The 17,314-nt window shown below is 39.4% G+C and overlaps 1 protein-coding gene across 5 annotated transcripts in view; it reads right to left on the bottom strand.

Moving 5' to 3' along the window:
- Window positions 1–17,314, bottom strand: part of AR (androgen receptor) — a 186,599-nt gene that overhangs the window by 154,823 nt on the left and 14,462 nt on the right. The window contains exon 2 of one of the 5 annotated variants that reach the window (NM_001011645.3): window positions 6,775–6,961. The exons of the other annotated variants lie outside the window; for them this stretch is intronic. Coding sequence (NP_001011645.1) covers window positions 6,775–6,794 — 20 coding nt within the window. The 5' untranslated portion in view covers window positions 6,795–6,961. The remainder of the gene's footprint in view (window positions 1–6,774; window positions 6,962–17,314) is intronic. 5 annotated transcript variants of the gene reach the window in all.

Here is a 17,314-nt window from a genome sequence, read left to right as displayed (position 1 = left end):
TCAAATATAAGAGGTAAAGGAAATAGCATGTGAAGTTACTAGCAAGCTAAACTGTTGTATTACATTTCTGAAAAGAATGGGATATTCTTTTATGTCCAATATACAGGGAGAGGAGAGACGGTTATTCTTTTAAATTGTTCCTCCTTCAGCCATCAGCCCTTCTCAGTATCTGAGTACAGCTCTTAAAGTCTAGTTTCTGAAAGTCTGCACTGCCTTCCTTTAAGCATCTGGACACAAGCATTTCATTTCTTCTTCTAAACAAAAGCACTATTTCTTTTAATGCTATCCCATTTTGATAACCCATAGAGTTTTTGGTGTATCCGCATATCATACGATTCCATACAGATCCTAAAGTCACAGTACAAAAGTTCTGACTACAGCCAAGGCTAAGCTACCTACAATTATTTCTACACACTCTCAATGTTTTGTAATAGAAAAGAAAAACTCTCTGACCTCTATAATTGTCAGGGGGAAAAAACAAACATCACTTTTAAGAAGTCAAGGATTTCTAAGGATATTTGGACCTCTTTCAAGGTTTCTTTTCAAAGGATGGGTGGCCCAGTTTTTCCTTTTCTCTCTCCCTCTCCTTTTTAAAAATGAATTACAAATACTTCACTATCCCCAACCTGCTCCACTCCCACTGCTCAGTAGGCTTCTTCATGGAGCTTTGAAAATGTGTTAAATCTTGGCCCAATTCTCATACCCTCAGCAGACTTGTCTCCTCTACATACATTCAGTGCACTTAGCAAAGATCATATGTCCTACAAAGAAACATTTTCTTATCCTTCCTCATATCACTAGTTAGAAGTCATCCCCCCCGGAAAAAAAGAAAATTGGCTCTATTATTTGGGTTTATCTTTGTGGTTTCCTTACTGTTTGGTGCTGCCAGAAAGTCAGCAATTTAAGCTTATAGTTTCAACCTCATATTGAGAAGTAAAAAAATGCCGCTTTGAGTTTATTAGTAATCACATGGCCTCAGGCTAATTTCTTCCTTCCCAGCAGTTGCCACACCTCTATGAAAAGGGGCAGTTTTACTGACATCTTTCCCTTTGCTTGGATTAATTGTAGCACCTCTCTTTTAGGAGAATTTATCTTCTAAAGCCTAAGGAGCAATTGAAAGAAATCTAGAAAACACAACCTTCAATTCAACGTTTCTTTATCTCAACACTACTTCCAAAGTTATGGGGATGAGAGGCTAAACTTCTGCTACAAAGCTAGTCATTGAAAGCTGAGAGGCCATAAAGTCAGATATGATGGCAGTCATTGCCCTAGGCTCCATGGCTGGGTGACATATGACAGGTTAGGGAGTAGGCTTAAGCTAAAACGGGGAGCACAGAGACTGCACACGTTCAAACTAGCCCAATGGGTCATTGGGGCACTTGAGTATATTTCCATTTTGATATAGGGTGTTTCTGGAATACAGTCTTACTTACTTACTTCTGGAAAGTGTGTAAATGGTTGCTGCCTCTGTTGTTTTAGAGGGTGGGAGGAGAAGGGGAATGAAAGCCAGATCCAAGTCTGAAAAAATGCTGGAACTCATCACCTTCTATAAAATATGTCAGGAAGGAAACACACGTAGTCACTAGCATTTTCTTTCAAACTACCCTCTATGGGTGGTGTCGCATAGGCCTTCTATAGTTGAAGTGAAGTAAACCACCACTTGCAAGAATCCTATGTACTAATGTGCTGGCAAGGGCCTTAAAAATTATCAACTCCTATTTTCCGTACACTTCCATTATGTTTTACAAATGGGGAAAATATAAGCTGGAGAATGGAAAGAATTTTGTCTTCTTCAACAGCTATAAGATCCAGAGCAATGTTAACCCAATTGTGAAATGTATGCTACTGGTAGAGTGGTGAGATGAATTTAGGTGGTGCTGCAATAAACTATTTTTTAGTAGTTATGCTTTATTTTAATCATTATTTCTACTTCTAATTATTTGTAAAACTTTCATAACAAACAGAAATGATGAGGTAAAACCACGTGGTCTACAAATTCAAAATTGATATTTACTCTGACAATAACTCGCTGTGTGACACTGGGAAAATTATTTTGCCATTCTGGGCCTCAAGAGACCCTATATACAATGAGGTAGTGACAATGCCACCCTCAAATTGTTTGCCAAAGGGTGGTAGGGCAAGAGCCCCATTCCATCCACCCAGTGGGTCAGCTTGCAGTGTTGTGCTGTTACTCAAAAAGGCAATAGAAATGTATTCATAATTGAAGGCTTGAGACCAGATGACCCTGAGATTTGAAGGGTTAGGGGGGACTTTCAGAAGTCAGTCAGTGCAGCCCTCTACATAAGACCTCAGAAAACCAATCCATTTGTGCCAAACCTGCTGTCCCTAAATGGATAAACGTTAACGGGCCATTCAGAATAAATAGGATGATTGGCCTAGACTTCAAAAGAGCAAGATAAATAAATATCAACCCAGGGAAGAATTGGTTCCTCCATCTTACTCTATCTTTCTAACTCAAAGCCAAATTATCTAAGGTTAAATAATTCATAAGTACTGTTTGAAGGTACCAGTATTTTAGTTGTCTTTGATTGCTTTTCTTTAACTTGAGCATTGTTAATGGCCCTCTAAAAGTGTAGAGCTTTCATTTGAATGACCTCCAGTTTCTGCTTTGTAGAATGGTTAATCTTAGGGAGCAGAGATTAAGGTTGGTCAGCAGACATCTATACAATCATAAAACAAATATTATAGGGAAATAACTATGTGCTGAGCTCAAATTATCATCTATCACATTCTAGTGGTAGGACCCTGGCCCAGTTAATTTATGTCTCTGTGTCTTCATTTCTTCATCTATAAAATGAAGACGAAGATTCTTACCCACGTCATTCGGCTATTGTGAGCATTAAAATGTCAGAACACTTTACATGTACGCAATAATTTTTTGATAAAGCTGGATTGTTCCTGGAAAGGACCAATCTTAAGCACAACTGAACAATTTAAAAAATGCTGACTTGTATATGTAACTATTTTTGACTACCCATGATAGGTTGAACTAGCCAAATACACAGTAGAGTTTCCTACCTGAAAAGAAGTAATCTCAAGGCTTACCCTGCAGTCTAATTATCTACTACTTACAACTCGAAATTTAGTTTCCATCATACCAGTAAAACAGAAAAAAACGGAATTGATAGTTCATAGAAAATCACTATAAACTTTAAGAAGCTGTCCTTTTCCTTTTGTATACTGGAATTTTCAAATCTAATATTATATTGATAAATGAACCAACATCTGAGATCTCTACTTTGTTTAGAGAATATAAAAAGTATCTTTATTATAATATTTGATGTAATAAGAGTTTACCTGATATTCTGATATAGATTTCTTTTTTAATAATTAAAGGACAATAAGGAAGTCACTACACCCCTGAGGTCATAACAGCTGCCACTTAAATATTTGTTGACTAACAAAATTGAACACTCTATGTTGCATGTGCAAAGCATTAATAATTTTTACCACGGATATATCATCTCAGAAAAGTAGTGACTCCTCTTCAATCCAATACTCAGCCTCCCTCCCCAGAAAAGGCAGAATCAGAACTGATGAATTCTTTCCTAAACAAAACAGAATGGCCAGGGTTTGCAGGGTTTGCTTCAGAAGACAATCTCAGAATATTACCCTAACTGAATAAATTTTACTATATGAAAAATCCACCCTATTGTCCTTCTTTTTCTTATTTTTTCCCTTAAATAAGTGAGAAGTTTGTCATATGCAATCATTTGGTAGCTACTGAGACAGGCTTTATTATTACCATTATACAGATGAGAAAATCGAGGTTTGAAATTATCAAGGTTGGCTGCAATGTAGAGCCCACATACAAATGTTTATCTTCTGACTGGAATCCAGCATCATAGACTTCTCTGCATTTAAATCAATACAACAAAAGAAAAACTCAATTCAACGGTCTGAATTATAAAATAGGATAGATTCCTCCTCCTTGTTTTTTTTTTAATTTTCATTATTTTACATTCAATAATTCTAACTAAATCAAAAGAGCCTGTTTTATCATAAAACAGACACAATGACTTAATTTTGTCATGTCAATTTTATGTAAATAGTATGTCTAAGGTGTTTGCCAATTAAAAAAATTATTTGAATATCGGAAATATCCCTCTCCTAATCTTACAGGAGGATTAGGTCAAAATATTTATGAAACATTTGTACTCTTTTTATTGAGCATAATTCAGTTAACTTCTAGATATATGTTCCCTTAGCACAGTACTGTATTAATTTCCAACACCTAGACAACTTACATGTTTCTACTGAACCTAGTCTTTTATTAATGACCACTTCCTTCTCAGGGACTACCATAATTGTGAAGGAACTGTATGTACTCTTAAGCAGCCTGCATACACACTGGACAACTGACATCACAGACTGACATCAGAAAAATCATGGTTGCGCCCATTAAGCACCACAGATACACTGGGAAGAGAGCAGAACTGGCATAAAGAACCCCCTGCCCATATCAGTGGATCAGTGTGTATGATGTTTGCAGTGACACTTAACAAGCTGTCTTTAATATCGTGCAAAGAAACAAGTATAATAAATGAGTGAGCCACATGTGGAATTTCCTTCTTGCTTTGGCAGAACAAGTCCAGAAAATAATATAATCAAAGAAAGAAAGAGAAACCAAAAGAACAGAAGTTTTAAATAGAGGTGGTAACCTTCCATCAGAAAGAAAGAGGAGAGCTGGTCTCTTCCTCATCCCTACCCCTCCCCTTACTGCCTTCCTTATATGGTCACAGCAGCCCAGGACAAGGAAAGATCTGGTCCTGCTAAACTTCTCTCTATGACCTTCACCTCTCCATTTCCTGTGCACTCCATCCTGAGCCCCTGGATGACTCCATTCAAACAAGGAATATGCCCATCTCTCTGTTACTTTTCATTCTCCTTTTTATCTGTACTCCATGTGTTCTAAGTCAACCTCAGAGCTCTTTGTCCCTAAGACACCATCTGTAGTAACACTTCAAAACAAAAACCCAAACAAAACCAGAAAAGTAACACCTTCTAACCCAGTAATTCTTATCACAAATAAGAATTATCACAATAATTCTTATTTGTGATAAGTCTCATCACAATAATTCTTATTTGTGATGTCTTATCAGAAATAAGACTTTGCAGTACAAATAAATGCTTTCTCCACCATCAATATGCTGAGTTTTAAAAAGAACATAGTTCTTATGCAGCCCATATCTTGCAAATTTACTTCACTGACATCATGAAATTAATATGAAAAGATTTATCATCTAACCACTCATTTCTCAAGGATTCTCTACACACAAGTGTCCTGTTAATAAAGACACACTGTGCATAATTTTTAACTGACTCTTTTGACATCCTACATGAATAAATTATGCACACCTACGTACCAACACACTTTTAAGTACCATAGCAGCTGGCAAGTAAAAAAACGAAACGTGAGTTATTTCACAAAATAATCTGGTAGATTCCTTGGAGAGCAGGTGAGCTTTTTATGAACCCGGTGGGTGCATATGCACAGACGTAGAGCCAACAACACAGACACAGACAGAAGCCAATATACATAGACAGCTACACAGAAATATCTGGTCACAGAGAAGCAGAAAGATACATGGATGCGTACACATACAATGAAATGCACACACAGGGACAAACACAGGGACAGCCAACACAACTGACTGCAAACACAGACAGTTCTGCTTCTCAAAGACAGAGTTGGATATGCTCACTCATACAAACTAAAACATGCACAAAAAAGATAAGAAGCCAATTCTAGTGGATATATACAAAAACATAAGCCAAAAACTGCAAAGGCCCAGAACTGCAAGAGAGGGATATACACCCAGAGAAATACAAACTAAGATAAGTAGGCAGATACATTAGAACATATACACACAGAGACACATGGAGATGGGGACAATAGGGGCATAGAAAAAGACATACCTAGAAGCAGTCACACAAAGAATGGCTATGACATAAACTGAAATAGTCACCCCAAAACAGTCTTGCTTAGACACACAAATTAAGATGAAAACAGACATAGAAATCCACACACCGACAGAAATAAACAGCTGTAATACAGACACAGTGATACAGTGGCCTGGAGTGAGAGATATCCACATAGACAGAGACGTGCAAACTCAGGGGAAAAAATACATGAAGGCACAGAGACACAAAGACAGAACTGGTAAAAAGAGACAGAGGCACATTGACTTAGCAAGACACTCGATTACACAGAGATACGAGCACAAAAGAAAAGACACGTTCCCACTAGCAAAGCACACAGGGTAAGACACTGTTTCTGGATCTCTGTGTGTCACAACTGCTCAGAAATGAACTCACAATAACAGACACACATACCCTGGTACACAATCACATACAAACATCAAACCACAACACATGTGCAGAAACCCACAGTTGTTCCTTGCACAAAGGCTGAAAACTGGAAGACACCATGTATGCTGCTTACTGTCTCTAGGGGTCTTGCAGGTAGGCCAGTATGCATGAAAAAGGCAATCTTATCATAGCGAATTAAGTGCTTTTTGCATTTTAATAATAATGAATTGCTCAACCCCCAACCCCCCCCCACACACAAAATCCCCCACCCACACTATATTCTGCCCCAAATTAGTCAACATGCTAAGATATTCAAGCAAGCTAGTCTAGATGCCTAATAGATAATGTCATGGCTGCGTAATATTAGGTCACAGTCCAAACCTTACAACACTCACTACCCTAGAAACTGAGTTCTAAGTTTTCAATTGAAGAACCTCCCACCTGTGAAGCCAGAGTATCATGGGAAAAAGTGACAGGCAATGTCAGGAGCACTCTGCATTCGTTTCCCTGGTTCCCTGTACAAAGTCCGGTACAAAGCCAGCCTCCAGCAGCTTCAGGCAGGCATTTGCATAGGCAAGAAGATGGAACAGATGACCTCCGAGGAATCCCTCTCTGCTCGCAGCACCTACTGGAGAAGAGAGCAACTTGGCAAATCAGAGCTGATAAAACATTCTGCAATACACAGTGGGTTGGGAAGAGGAGGGACGGCGCAGATAAGCAAACTAACATACCCTCCTGATGCCAATTACTGCCTTGTTAATTGCCAAGATTCAAATGTGATTTCAATAAGTACAGTAGTGTGAAAATATTGCATATAGAGATCAGAATCCCTCTGACTGCCAGGCCTCTGAAAAATAAAAACCAAGGGGAGGGGCTGGTACATATTCCCACTTTAATTGGAGTTGGTACCGCAGAACCCACTGTCCCCAGAGTGCAGTAGAAAGAGTCAAAATCACTGAGATCAAAGAACACCCTAGCTAGAAAGGGCATTTAGTTCTGACCTGGGAGCAGAAGCCCTCGATTTCCAATCTGAATGTGCCAGTAAAGTGTTTGTGCTTGTGAACTTGGTCTAATTCCCTTCCCTGTCTGGGTTTCAGTTGCCCAGTCCATACGAAAGGGAACTGACCTCTAGAATTCTCTCTAAATTATGACTATTTCTGATTCTTTGGCATAAACTTGCCCTCTTTCAACCCACTGTTTTGAACTCGTGTCTAGCGAAGAAGCACAATTAGTCCTCAGAAATGGAAAGAAGAGTAATGCTTTTCACCAAGTTGACAAATGCCTGCTATATACAAAGAAGGAAAATAGACGCCCAGACACAGACGTGCCTACTTGAAATGAGCTTCTAATGTTAAGTTTGAATAAATAAGAGGGCTTTGTGGTATGGGAGGGAGATTTGGAGGGGCTACTCTGCCTGCCATCTGCTGACCCCTGAATGCATAACCCTCTTTTCACACTTGCTCAATGAAGAAGCATGCCACTGCCCTCAGCCCCGTTACTACAATTGCTAAGTTGCTGGTACAAGGGAAAACCCACCCCTTACACCACACATGCACAGGCTTTTAGAAAAAACAGGAGAAGATTTTATCCCTGAAGTATAGGATTTAGTTTGTGGTAATCAAAACGGCTACACTTTAAATCTATAAGCCCTTTCTGAATTTACAAATTACTTCTAGACTTAATGTTTCATCTATATAATTAGAATTTATCTTCCAATCTGCTGATAAGGGAACTCTGACTCAGAACTGTTGACTTGCCCAAAATTATACAGATAGTAACCCACAAAGTCTGGACACAAACCCTAGTATTTTAAGCGTAGGTCTGCTGCTCTTTCAAGTACTTTAGTCTTCTTCACTCATGGTCTTATTGGTGGACTTCAACCTCTCCTCCTACCTCAGTCCAGCTAGAGGGAAAGAAAACCCTGGCATGAACTCAGGGCTGAAAGGAACCCATGTCTATCTCCCACTTCCATCTCTGCACGGAGACTAGGGAAACAGGAGGAGGTGTGGCATTTGGCTAAAGGACTCTCGGAAAGGAAGGGAGGAAAGCCTTTCCTCATCACCCTCCATTACTCTTAGTCCTCAGGGAACATTGTGGGTAAGTTTATGAAGCTAAGGAAGTAAAAAAGAGATGACAAGTTGCCTAGGAAATTCACATCCCAAACTCATTTTTCCTGAATTAGCTGTGACTTTGATTTTCCATATTACAGTTAAATAAGGCACTTAAGAGCCTGGATTAAGACTCTGGGTCCCAGTACCCAGAAAGGCTGTAAAACCTTTTCAGAAGATTATTAAGAGGACGCTAGAGAAGAGTTACGTTGAAGGGAGGCAAGAGGCTTTGGCTGATGGAGGGTACATTTAATGGCCTCTATGAAAAATAAAGCTGAAGTGGTGTGGAATAGTGAAAACAGCAGGGAGGCCAGGAAACAAACAAACAAAAAACTGAACAATCAAAATTCAAGTCCCAAACTACCAAGTTACTATACTATGTGATCTTGAACAAGTCATTCAAGTCTCTGAAATTCAGTTTCTTACCTATAAAGTGGAACTAATAAGAGCTACCTAGGATCAAAGTAAAGATTAAACAAGAAAACAGAGAGACAACATCTAACATTGTACCTGTCACTGACAGGTAAATGCTCAAAAAGAGTAATACTTGACCAGAAAGAGTTAACCTATGACTGGAAGGAGCCTTAAGTGGCAGGTTTTCAAAGCAAGTGGAATGATGATGCTCCAAGTCAGCTGACCATTTACTTGGAAAAAATCTAAAATCAACTCTTAAACAACAATCTTTGTCACCCCCATACTCTACTCAAATACATAACCAGAAAGTTGGGACTCACCAGGACCATTTAAGGCCCCCCATAGATCCTACTTAACAATCTCGCAGCCCCATCCATCATCACACACTCAACCTTCACACACACAAATACACACACAGAGGCTGAAACATTCCACTTCTGTTCTTAGCAAGACAAGATTAGATTAAAATGCAATTTCTCATAAGGCTTCATCTTCATTTACCCCAAATAAAAGACACCCCATTTTTAGGATGGCCATAGTCACTGAAGAATATAACTTGAGATTTTGCTAATGGCGTTTCACAAGTTGCTGTTCATATGTTTACTACTGAGATGTCAGTCCCCAGTCTGTGAGATTTTAGAGGCCTGAGATGGTATCTTATTTCTCTTTGTAGCCTCAGAATCCAGCACAGGGTTTGATAGAAAGTTGGTACTCAGGAAATGTATTGATGAATAAAATAATTAATTAGTGAATTCGCAAATGAAATGCTCATTTAACTAAACTGACATTGCTAAGAATGAAAAAAAATTTTCACAAGTGATAAAACAAATCTTCAACCAAAAGTTGGAAAGAATGTTCCCAAATGACATATATACTCATTCATTCAATAGCAAATCTGAGCTGTGAACTTGAAAAAAGTTGGACTTACTGTCAAAAATTAATGGTCTGGGGCTGGGAGCAGTGGCTCATGCTTATAATCCCTGCACTTTGGAAGGCCAATGGAGGTGGATCACTTGAGACCAAGAATTCAGGACCGGCCTGGGCAACATGACAAAACCTCATCTCTACTAAAAATACAAAAATTAGCCAGGCATTGTAGCACATGTCTGTAATCCCAGCTACTCAGGAGGTTGAGGCACGAGAATCACTTGAACTCAGGAGGCAGAGGTTGCAGTGAGACGAGACCTTGCCACTGCACTCCAGCCTGAGTGAGACTCTGTACCTCCCACCCCCCAAAAAATTCACCAAATCCTGGTTCTGTTGCTTATTGTCTGAGTTACCTTGGAATCTCCTTTAATTTCCTCCAGTCTCAGTTTACTCATCTGTGAACTAAGGATTTGATCCCTGTTGTGCCTACCTCCAAGTTGATTTTGAAGAGTAAAAAAGATAATGTGTCTGAAAGTACTTGGTAGATTTCAAGCAATTTATACATCCTAGGAATTGTAATAACTTAGTCTCAAACATGCTCATTCGTTCCACTCCCATTTTCCGGTCCTCCACCATTTCTCTTACCAACTAACTATAACAAAGCCAGCCTCTAAGTCCTTTGAAAACCATCGATAAACAAAATGCAAGAGGGAAAGGAAAAAAGAGAACTAGGTCTCCTGCCAGCTCAAGCAACTTTTAGCTTACCTGATTTCTTATAGATCCGGGGCATGGCTGCCTGAATAAGTCAGTGTTGCTACCACTGATAAAATATCTTAATACCAATCTTTTAAAGTCATCCAGAAAGCATCCTTCATGGATCCATTGTGATTTCCCTTCCTAGAAGTGGTTTCAGAAGGGTCTGTGAGGATGGTTTTGATGGCAAGGAGATGGCACAGTGAAAGTGGAGTGGGAGGCTGTGCCACTGTGGGAAGACAGTCTGAGGTGCTAGAGAAGGGAAAAGTAGATGAAGGAAAATGGCGGTGGGCAAAGAGAAGGATAGTTGCCTCAAACAAGAAAGAAGATTGGGGTCTGTGGAACAGGGTTCAAACAGGCCAGGACCAAAGAGAAGCTCTAGGTTTTGCTAATTTTTAGGATTACAGATTTACAAGATGAAAACCAGGGGGAAAATTGGCTCTAAGGAAACCCCAATGTGTACCTATAATGAACAGTTGGTAACTGCTAATTTCTCCACTAATAAATTTAGAAGTGCAGTGGAGAATAAAGTAGAAAAAAAATTATTTCACTTTCTAGCAACTGTCATATGCCATGGTAACAATGCATGTGACTGAAACTGAAAAGAAAAGAATTAAATGAACCCATCAACCTGACACTTCCATGCTACTCTCAGCTACCAATAGCAGGGCCATTACAATTTCAGACAGCAGGGGTTATTACCACTGACACCACAGAAATAAAAATAACTATCAGAAGGTATTATGAACACCTCTATGCACACAAACTAGAAAAATCTAGAAAAAATGGATAAATTCCCAAACAAATACATCCCGCCAAGACTGAATCAGGAAGAAATTGAACTCCTGAACATACCAATAATGACACTGGTACGACTGCTCCTTCCCTCTCACCCTTACTCTATTATACACTGAGGAGTTCAAAGTTGATAGAATAAGAAGGCTTAGTAGATGCTCTCCAGAGTCGTGGGAGATGGAAGTGGATCACCTTGTTTGTTTCCATGGGAGAAAGCCAAACAGATTTCACCTCTCAACTTACTCCCCCATAGACTGGGGTATAGTCCTTGCCTCTTAGGATATGCCAGCCTGCTCTTAAATGACTCAGCAGATCTTTAAATATACCCAAGCAAAGAGCTGCTCCGAGACACAACTTGCTGTTAAAAAAATGTTTTAATCTGTTTGGGGTGTTGAGAGGAAGGTCCTTTGTTAACATTAGGTTCCCAAGCAAATTCAGTACTGCTGTGACTCTTTCTCTCCCTATATGCTAAGAGGCTTGTTTTTGTTCTGCTGCCTGCCATTTGCCAGCTGTGTGGATCACAAGGATGAGAAGGGAGATCATTCCAGGCCACGGAAGGATTCAAGAAAATTCCTGCCCAGTAATTTTGTTGGGGGAAGGGTGCCAATATGTGCAACGGAGTTACTAGTTTAAATGTAGGGGCCCCAAACTCAAAGAGGTCCCATAATTTGCATTGAGTCATTCTGTTCCTTGTGGAAGACCATGACCTCTGGCCAAGAAGAGGAATCTTCTCACTCTCCCTCTCTCCTCAGACTAGCTCTGTCTCACACTTTGAAGCACACATCAACCAATAAGAGATTTCAGCTGGGCTGAGGGAAGTAACTTAATAACTTGCATTACCGAAGCAAATCATGCTCCCCTGTTATCTGCAATGACCTCACGCTTACATTCCAGCCAAAGCATTTTGGAGACTCAAAGCTTTGTGGAAGGGGAAGCCAGGCAGCAGTGGCCTGGGGAAAAGCCCATGTATGTCAGCCAGAGTCTAGCGTTTTCCCAAGCTCTGTTTGTCTGGACTACTACTACTACTAATAATAATAGGTACAATTTATGAAGCTTGTACTATGCACCAGGCCCTGGGCTAGATATTTACATTTATTATCTCACTTATATTCACAAAAACCCAACAAAGGAAGCATTAGTATCTTCATTTTAGAAATGAAGAAACTGAAACTCAAGAGAGGTGAAGCAGCCCAGAACTGGAAGCTAGTAAGACCCAGAGCCAGTATTTAAAACAAAATCTGTCAGATGCCAAAGCCTATTCCTGAACATCGGTCAACATACTACACTTTGACTCTTACCCCAGCTTCTTTCCCGAAGGCCCTTCAGCCTCTCTGTTATGTATTTAAAATCCTTAACTACACAAAGTATGCCTCATATCATCCAAATGGGCATTTTGGAGTCATCTATAGGCTTTTAAATTGTTAAAAAGTGACTGTAAAAATCATCTACTATGAGTTCAAACCTTTGCCCTATACATGGTTCCCAAAGGGTCCAGACTCTTCTTGAATGTCTTCAGTGAATGTGAATTTACTATTTATGTGATTCAGCCAATAGATAGACAGATATGGTGTGGTGAATTAGAAGAAGGGAACTAATATTTCAGCACCTACTAAGTGCCATGCCCTTTATCCTAGTTGTTTTATTTCATTCTTATAATAACTCTATAAGAAGAGTGCTCTACAGATAATGAAGATCTAGAGGCTCAGAGGGGTTATGTTACTGTCCTGAGGTCATCCAACTATGTTATGTGGCCGTGCTAGAATTGAAAGCCAGGTCTGATCCTATTGTGGTGCTGCTTGTACATTTCTTTAGCTCCTCCTATACGAGGAGTGAAAGCCCTTGGAGTAAGCAAGGGACCCAAGATTTGCTTAGGTCTCTGATCTGATGGGGATGACATACTCGAATGACTAGAAGAGTCAAGCAGGTAACTTAAATGAATAAAGCGGATCAGTGCTGCCTGGGCAAACTGCAAAGTGCATGGCCCATCCAGAGGATCAGCTGCTTTTCACCTACAGCTGGTCATTACCATGTAGGAATGAAAGTCCTGTATTGCCAGATCTTCATTCCCTATGGTGGAAATCTGAATTTTGAAGTAAAATGTTAGCAAGTAATTCAATAAACACACACACATACACACACACACACACACACACACACACACACACACACATATACACCATATAGACCAAACAAAACTCATATGGTCCATGTTGACAACTTCTGATGAAGGGTGAAAGAAGCTATTCTAAGAAAATATCTTTCAGGCTGGGCACATTGATTCACGCCTGTAATCTCAACAATTTGGGAGGCCGAGGCAGGCGGATCACCTGCAGTCAGGAGTTTGAGACCAGCTTGGCCAACATGATGAAATCTCCGTCTCTACTAAAATAAATAAAGAAATAAATAAATAATAAATAAAATTACCCAGGAGTGGTGGTATACACCTGTAATCCCAGCTACTCCAGAGGCTAAGGCAGGAGAATCACTTGAACCCGGGAGGCGAGGTTGCAGTGAGCCAAGATTGCGCCATTGCACTCCAGCCTGGGCGACAAGAGTGAAGACTCCCATCTCAAAAAAAAAAAAAAAAAAAAAAAAAAACCTCTTTCGTTTACTGAACTGTAATCTGTCCTCATTGCTTTTGCCCTTTGGGGTACTACAGAAAAACATCTAACTTCTTTATTCCATGATAATCCTTCAGGTACGTTGAAACAATAGTTATGTTCACTGCTCCATGTCTCTCTCACAGCTCCTCCATGCTTTACAAAAGGAGATGCTCCATGAATACTGGGGCTGAACAATACATTGCAAATGTGTCTGACCAGAATTTAACAGAGCAAGACAATCAACTCCTTTATTCTGTGTCCCATATAATAGTCCCTTGGTATTTGAAGGGGCATGGTTCCATTCCCCCACTCCCATGAATACCAAAATCCAAAAATATTCATGTTCCTTAACTAAAACATATAAAATGGTGTCATATTTGTATTTAACCTATATACATCCCCCATATATTTCATTTATATCTAGATTACTTGTAATAGCTAATACAATGTTATGTAAATAGTTGTTTTACATAATTTTATTTGTATTTTTTTACTGTCGAATTGTTATTTTTACTGTGTCTCTAAAATATATTTTCCATCTGCAGTTGCTTAAATCTGTGGATATGGAATCCATGGATATGGAGGGCTGACTGTATTTATGTTAATGGAACTTACAATCCATCAGTTGTTTTTGGCAGTTACTTACTACTATTGACTCTGAATCATTTCATAAAGAAATACTTATGGAATACCTACTGTGTACACCACTGTTAAGTTATGTGCTGTGGATATCTTATATCCAAAGAGAATCTTTGCAGATATATCCAACCTTTGCCCTAAAGAGAGACAGATGTTTAGAGGTATATTTAGAAGGACGTTATCAGACATTAACACAAGTACTTCTGATTTAAGGGACTAAGTACCATATTGATGGAGAAAGAAAAAAGGGATAAATCCAAAAGGTCTTATGCACTCTTGACTTGTGCCTAACATCCATAATCACATATGATCCCCTCTCCACAAAATCTTATAAACTAGAGATTTCTAGCCCCTGGTTTACAGATAAAGAAGTGAAGCCAACATTCTTTCAACCATATTGTGTCATATAGATCACTTCTCCTTGGGTTGGGAGGTTGAGAATATTCATTTTGTAGGGGGCTGTCATAGAAGAATGGATAGTATTGAAATTGGGATAGCCTTCAAGGTCAAAGGGATTATAAGAAAAATAACATGTTCAAAAAACAAGAGAGTGAGGATGGTTTAAAGTGACAGTGACTAGATCCTTTTGGCTGGGTTTTAAGAGTTTTGTAAGGGAACTCCAGGAATTCAGGCTGGAAAAATAAGCAGATCATAAAAGGACTTGAACACCAGATTTAAATAATTTGGACTTTAACCCATAAGCCAATGGGGAGAAGCTGAAATTGTAATCATGCATTACACAACTATACAGCAAGGCTTCCTTTGCATTAAGCACGAAGAATAGGGAAAAAATAAGACAGGACTCCCACCCTTAAGGAGCTTAAAGACTAATAGACATTTAAAGCAGTATACAGACAAGATTGGAGCTAAACTTTGGAAAGATCTGGTGGCACAAATACAATAGGAATTAGAGAGTAGCAGAGAGAGCTAGAGAGAAAGGACGTGGGATCACTGCACTAATCCTGGAAAGAGGTGTTAAGAATCTGAACTGGGGGGAGAAGGAATGACTGAGAAGGCTTTGGGAAACAGCATATCCCTTCAGCACCCTAATTCCCAAAGCCTTCAGCTTGGTTTTTCAAACACTATGAGATCATCTTTGATGGGGAACTCTGAATTGGGAAGGGTAGAGAAGAGTCCACCCTGCTCAATCCCACATCTGACCTGCCATATTTTGAGTCAATCTAGCACCTCACTGAAGCCCAGAAAATGTCTAAAGCAAACTACATACCATATGAAAGTATGAGCATGGTTAAAATTTTTGGTCTATTATTAGATAGTTGGTGACTGAAATATCTCAGTCTAATTTGGTCTTTTTTATTCAAAAGGCTGATCAAACAAATTTTTCAGATGAACAATTGCAAACAGACTACACATTTGCTAACTGTGGTTTTTAAACAAAGATGAAAGGGAAGGAGGGATGGACAGAGTAAAGAGACCCAAAACATGTTCTGGAATCCTTTCTGCACCCAAACACCAAACATCAAGTGTTTCCATCTTTACTCTCAACTCTTGGTTTATGCAGTCTCCTCATCTAATTAGAAGTTGGACAATGCTTCAGAGAGGTGGCCCAATGTGACAAGCTTGGAAAAATTCTTTCTCTCCTGCACTGCCCATTTTCAAATAAATGCTGAAATAGTTATCATTTAGCAAGACTACCTTCTTTAAAAGAAAACCTGGAGAGACAGATTTTTGCAGTAGCCTGCTTCCATTTCCACAGTAACAAAAAGGTTATCTGACAACCACATTCATGACTTCCTATGGGATCCTGCACAACACATTGGGGCCTAGAGGGACGGAGGTAGCATCTTGTCAGTCCTGGGAAGTGTCCCTTCTTATTTAGTGTAAATCCCACAAATCCCACATGCTGACATTTTTTCCTAACATTTTGTTCCTTTTGTCCAGTCTCTGGAAGGAAATGGACTCTGCTCACTCTCCCAATTCTCTGTCCAATCTTGTTGATGGAGACAGGTAATTAAAAGGTGAAGGGCAGAACAATACGGAGGAGGAATGGAGGGAGACAAGTCAATGTTAGAAGGGAGCCCAAGTGATAGAGTGGAAAGAGGTCTGGCAGTCCGGAGTCTCAAATTCAAGTTCCGGTTCTGCTACTTACTCACCATGTGACATTAGGTTAAGTATCCTTCCTTCTAAGAGTGCTTAAAAGAAACTGGTGCATATTAAGGATATGAGTTGTTCAGTGTTTGAAGTTCAGGCACAATGTTTTTGCATTTTAAAAACTTTCTGTTATAAGAAAATTACCTCATTCCATAAATATAGTGGAAAATAACATAAGTTGTGGAGCTGAACTACCTAGATTCTAATATTGGCACTTCCACTTACTTGTTCTCTAATCTTGTGCATGTTATTTAATTGCTCTGTGCCTGTTTCTTCATCTACAACATAGAAATGATAATTGTAGCTACCTCATGGAGTATTTTGAGGATTAAATGAATTAATACATGTAAAATAAATAAAACAATGTCTGACTGTAAAAATTGGCAATTTTATTTTTCTTATCTTAACTCTCCTATTTAAGCAGGCATTGAATTGCCCAGGTTTGTAGCAGTCGGAGATCAACCTCCTTGGGATCTCTAGGCCCTTTTCAATAATTCCTGTAGTCCTGTTTTCCAATCCCTATCATGAGTCATCAACTTCTTCTAACCACCCCTTTCCATCACTCTGCCTCTACTTTAACCTCTAGGCCACCCACCTATTTGGTGAGGATCAGTGGACTATAATAGGGGCAGAGCATAATGAAGTCACCTACGTCACCAGTCATTTGGGTTGGTAAAGGTGAAGGGTAAT

This window comes from Homo sapiens, chromosome X (assembly GCF_000001405.40).
Source record: "Homo sapiens chromosome X, GRCh38.p14 Primary Assembly".
Classification (NCBI taxonomy): Eukaryota; Metazoa; Chordata; class Mammalia; order Primates; family Hominidae; genus Homo; species Homo sapiens.
The sequence above is the reverse complement of the archived record's forward strand: the minus strand, read 5'-3'. Positions and strand labels throughout refer to the sequence as shown.